Source organism: Homo sapiens, chromosome 3 (assembly GCF_000001405.40).
Source record: "Homo sapiens chromosome 3, GRCh38.p14 Primary Assembly".
Classification (NCBI taxonomy): domain Eukaryota; kingdom Metazoa; phylum Chordata; class Mammalia; order Primates; family Hominidae; genus Homo; species Homo sapiens.
The window spans coordinates 187,716,434-187,721,376 of NC_000003.12; the positions used below are offsets into that span (position 1 = coordinate 187,716,434).

General features: G+C 47.4%; 1 long non-coding RNA gene across 1 annotated transcript in view; it reads left to right on the top strand.

The window, feature by feature from the left end:
- Positions 1–4,943, top strand: part of LOC100131635 (hCG1645011-like) — a 30,050-nt gene that overhangs the window by 14,068 nt on the left and 11,039 nt on the right. The window lies entirely within an intron of this gene.

The following is a 4,943-nucleotide window of genomic DNA, read 5'->3' on the forward strand; positions in this document are numbered from 1 at the left end:
ATAAAAAGGGAAGAACTTTGGATACAGAGACACAAACACAGAAACACCATGTGAAGATGAAAAGATTGAGGTGATGCTTCTACCAGCCAAAGAGTGCCAGATTGCCAGGAAATGACCAGAAGGTAGGAGAGAAGGCTGGAACAGATTCTTCCTTACAGCCCTCAAAAGAAACCAACAGTGCCAACACCTTGATCTCGGACTTCCAGCCTTCAGAACCATGAGGCAATAACATTCTATGGTTTAAGCCATTTCAGCTGGTGGTACTTTGTTTCAGCAGCCTTGGCAAACTAATTACACCGCTAGAGGTGACTCCTACTGGTGACATCAAAGGACAGCTCTGTCCAGATGGAAGGAGGCACTGAAGTTCCACAGAACAAATGGGAGACACACGAGAACCCTGAGAGAGCCTCTCCATGGGCCACCAGCTCAACATGGCTGTCCACCTTGTACTGCCGTGAATGGACAATTTGCCATTCTGAACATGCCCCTTCTCAAGATATGCAGAATCCATAGGAACATCAGTTTTTTAGTATACTTTAAGTTCTGGGATACATATGCAGAATGAGCAGCTTTGTTATATGGGTATACATGTGCCATGGTGGTTTGCTGCACCCACCAACCTATCATCTACATTAGGTATTTCTCCTAATGCTATCCCTCCCCTAGCCCCCAGCTCCCGACAGGCCCCAGTGTGTGATGTTTCCCTCCCTGTGCCTATATGTTTTCATTGAGGAACATAATTTATTAGCCATAGTTTTATATATTTTGGTGTTTCCTTGTAATTTTCCTTCCATATATGTCCATGTTTTGTTTTGTGATTTTGACTACGAACCTTTGAGGGCTGGAACCACGTTACAAACCTCACTGGGAGTCAGGTGATGTTTGATAAGAATTCTTGGTGTGACCTTAAGCATGTCACCTTTCTTTTCAGGCCTGGTTTCCTTGCCTATGGAAGAATTATTATCACTAAGCTCTCTCCAGTTACAATATTCTGTGATCCCAACTCCATATGTATTTACATAACCAACCTGCCTTCTTGGGGTCCTAAAGGGAAAGAAAGACCCAGGAAACTCATCTTTTAGATATGTTGAGCAGCTGTCATCTGGGGTTAAATGAGTCAGCCTCATTTAATAAGGGGCTAGACCCCAAACGTTTGGGAGCAATGTAGTACCCAGGGGCTGTAAACCCCACTAGGTCTCCTTCCTAGACTCCAAAGTCCTCCTGCCTGGGCATCTGTCTTTCTAGAAGGCCACTTTTTTGTGTTAATCTTTTTTCTTTTTTTCTCCCATGAGTCATAGGGAATGAGAGAAGGCCACTTTCTTAGTGAGTGCTGAAGCTTTCTCTTCTTTGGAGGCAGGCCCTGGATGCTATATTTCATGTAATGGGCAGCCTTCCCATGGTAGGGCTGGGCTTCTGTGTACTGTTTTGAAGCTTCCTATCTCTGCTCTGGGATGGGAGGAACATTCACTTTCCAACTGGGTACAGTATTTTGGGTAAATAACATTTTGTTTCTTACCTTGGAGGGATTACAGCATGCCTTGGCCTCCACTATAGAGAAGCTTGGGCCTAGTCAAAGAAGTGTAAGGGTCCTTCTAATGGCAAACTCCCCAGAAGCGTGGCTATCTGTGAAGCGTAAGGGTCCTTCTAATGGCAGACTCCCCAGAAGCATGGCTATCTGTGAAGCGTAAGGGTCCTTCTAATGGCAGACTCCCCAGAAGCATGGCTATCTGTGTGTAAATTATGCTCCTTTGGTTCCAGGAAATAGACTCATACAGGCCAGTCCAAGTAACGGCAGTGGTGTAGAAATGAAGGCAGTGACCCCATTATACAGTGGTTATAAGAGGGATGGATTATCCTAGAAATCTAAGACTAGAAACCCCCACACAATTATAAGCTTCATAGAACTAGATCCTGAAAGGTCACCCTAGTTCTGCAGACCTCATTCTGGAGCTTTGCCGTTAATGTGGCCCAGCTACTCTTCAGGGGTCAGCTTTTCTCTGCTCCTATTCCTCATTCTAATTCTCTTAGTGCTTACCAATGCATGTCTCTGATAGAACACAGGACAACTTATTATTATTATTAATTTTTTTTTTGAAACAGAGTCTCACTCTGTTGCCCAGGCTAGAGTGCAGTGGCACGATCTTGGCTCATTGTAACCTCCACCCCCTGGGTTCAAGCAATTCTCCTGCCTCAGCCTCCCTAGTAGCTGGGATTACAGGCATGCGCTACCACGCCTGACTAATTTTTGTATTTTTAGTAGAGACGGGGTTTCGCCATGTTGGCCAGGCTGGTCTCGAACTCCTGACCTCAAGTCATCCATCTGCCTCGGCCTCCCAAAGTGCTGGGATTACAGGGGTGAGCCACCGTGACCAGCCTTATTATTAATTATTACTATGAGTGAGACAGAGAGAGAAAATGGAAACCCAGATTTCAAAGGGAATAGCTCATTTCTCCAAGAAGCCTGAGGCCTAACAATTGAATTGAACTGATTAAAGTTCTAATGACAACCACTGTGCGAACTCAGCCTACCCGGACACCTTTAGCTGCGGGACCTTGGACTAGTTCCTCCTTCCATTTCCCCATGTCTAAAACGGAACATTTGTAACCAGGCATGGTGGTGGCCCCTGTAGTCCCAGCTACTCTGGAGGCTGAGGCAAGAGGATTGCTTGAGCTCAGGAGTTCAAGTGAGCTATGATGGTGCCATTGCCGCACCCCAGCCTGAGTGACAGAGCAAGACTCCATCTCTAAGAAAAATAAAATAATAAATAAATAAATAAATAAATATTAAAAATTAAAATGGAACATTTGCCTCTGGTTTTCCTTCCCTTAGGGTTGTGTAAAGAGCAGGAGCCTGTTCTCCACTCTCCACCCCAGGCTCTGGGCGGCAGTAGGAAAGTGCCTTCAGCCCTCCTGCCTCAATCCTTTCATGGGTCAGGTGCAAGATTTGAGCTAGGTGATCTTACCACCCCATCCCTTCCAACTACTAAATAGCTCTGCATAATTCTAACCACCCCTTCCCTTCCAACTACTAAATAGCTCTGCATAATTCTAACCACCCCGCTTCTCTGGGATTACCCCTTACACATCCTCATCACACTGATCCTCAGAAACCTATCCTCTAAAAATCCCACAATGTAGAACACCACGCATGTTCCATGTATGGGTGAAAAGCTGCATTTACATCTTGCTTTTTAGTAAACATTTTATATTCCCTTTGCCCTGGCTTATCTGCTTAGAGACTTTTCTTTTTAGTTATTATTGATTGTCAATTGGCTGCAGTTACTCACTCTTTGATCTTCCCTTTTGTTTAAATGGCCACCCACACTATCTGCCCTCGCCCCTCCATCTCTCTATTAAACAGTAATGAAATGCAAACAAACTTGGAGGTACTCTGGGAGCAAAGGGACCCTGGGGCCAGCTTCCCTTAGGCCTGTGAATTGTCATTCCTGAAGCTGTCTGTTTTGTAAGTTCTCCTGCCAAGTTTCTATGGGAGCAGAGGGATCATTTTCTCCCTTTTCAAAGAGCAGGGTGAGTTGAGGCCTCGAGCTGGCAAGTCCTTTAAAGTCATTTTCAAAGGAAACCTGAGCTGAAAGGCCATGCAGCTGGCAGAGGGTGCTGTGCCTTTCTGAGGCTCTCTGTGGGGTGCTGGGTGGTCAGCTCCCATGGCTTCCCAGCACGTGCTCGGAGCCTGCTGCAAAGGCACTGCCAAGGGACACGGCTGCCCAACAAGTGGGCCCATGGCCCTGGGGACAGGCTCAACTCCACATGCTCTCCCCACTGCCACCCAGGAACAGGAAGGGGGGTGTGCAGGCTTCTCCTCTGGGCCAGTGACCAGAACCACACTTGTCCTCACTGTTCTCAGGTCAAACTTGATCCTTGGCGTTTTTTGAGGTAAAATAAAACTAGGTGCAAAGCAAGCTAGGGTGAACTTACATCTGAATCAGGGAATCATAAATGGTGTAGTTCACTCTCATGGACAGGTTGGAAAGGGGACCCAGAGGGAAAGTGCTTGTCCCAAGTCACACTGGAGGAGGTGGCTGAGTTCTGCCGCAGGGCTCTTGGGACAGAGCACCTCTGCAGGGATGGAGGTTTGCTTGGCCACTAACCATTCATAAAGCTTCTGAGTCTGCAGATGTCTGCCAATCACCCAGCAGACACCAAAAAGCCCCAGATGCACTCAGGCTGAGAAATATATGTCTGGGGCCACATGCCTTCATACTGCCCCATGAGCCGAGGAGAGAGAAATTGTTCGTGAAGCCAGAAAGCAAGATGGGCCTTCTCACTTCCAAAACTGGGCAAACTGAGGTTCAGAGGAAGAAGAGATGCCTATCTATGTGTCAGCAGAGCTAGGAGGGAAGTCATTAAATGCTTAGCCTAGGCCGGGCATAGTGGCTCACACCTGTAATCCAAACACTTTGAGAGGCTGAGGCAGGCAGATCACCTGAGGTCAGGAGTTCGAGACCAGCCTGGCCCACATGGCAAAACCCCTTCTCTATTAAAAGTACAAAAAATTAGCTGGGCATGGTGGCGTGCACCTGTAATGCCAGCTACTTGGGAGGCTGAGGCAGGAGAATCACTGGAACCCAGGAGGCGGAGGTTGCAGTAAGCTGAGATCCGAGTCTCTGTCTCAAAAAACAACAAAACAAAACAAAACAAAACAAAAGTGCTTAGCCTAGAGCTGAGTGGGAGGTCCTTCCAAAATCTCCCACCTGAGCTCTTCAGAAAGGGCCTGGAGTCCGCAGTCCCTCCTGGTGCTGGGATCCAAATGTGCGTTCATGCCAAGGTACCAGGAACCTAGCCTCATCTCAAAAGACGCTCGTTTTTGAGAATGCAGCAGCCAGCAGCCCCTTCCCTCCAAGAGCTTTTTCCACTAGGTTAGGAGCTGAGGGAGTCAGACGCAGGCCAGGCCCCATTCCAACGCAAGAAAAGCCCTCCAGACCAAG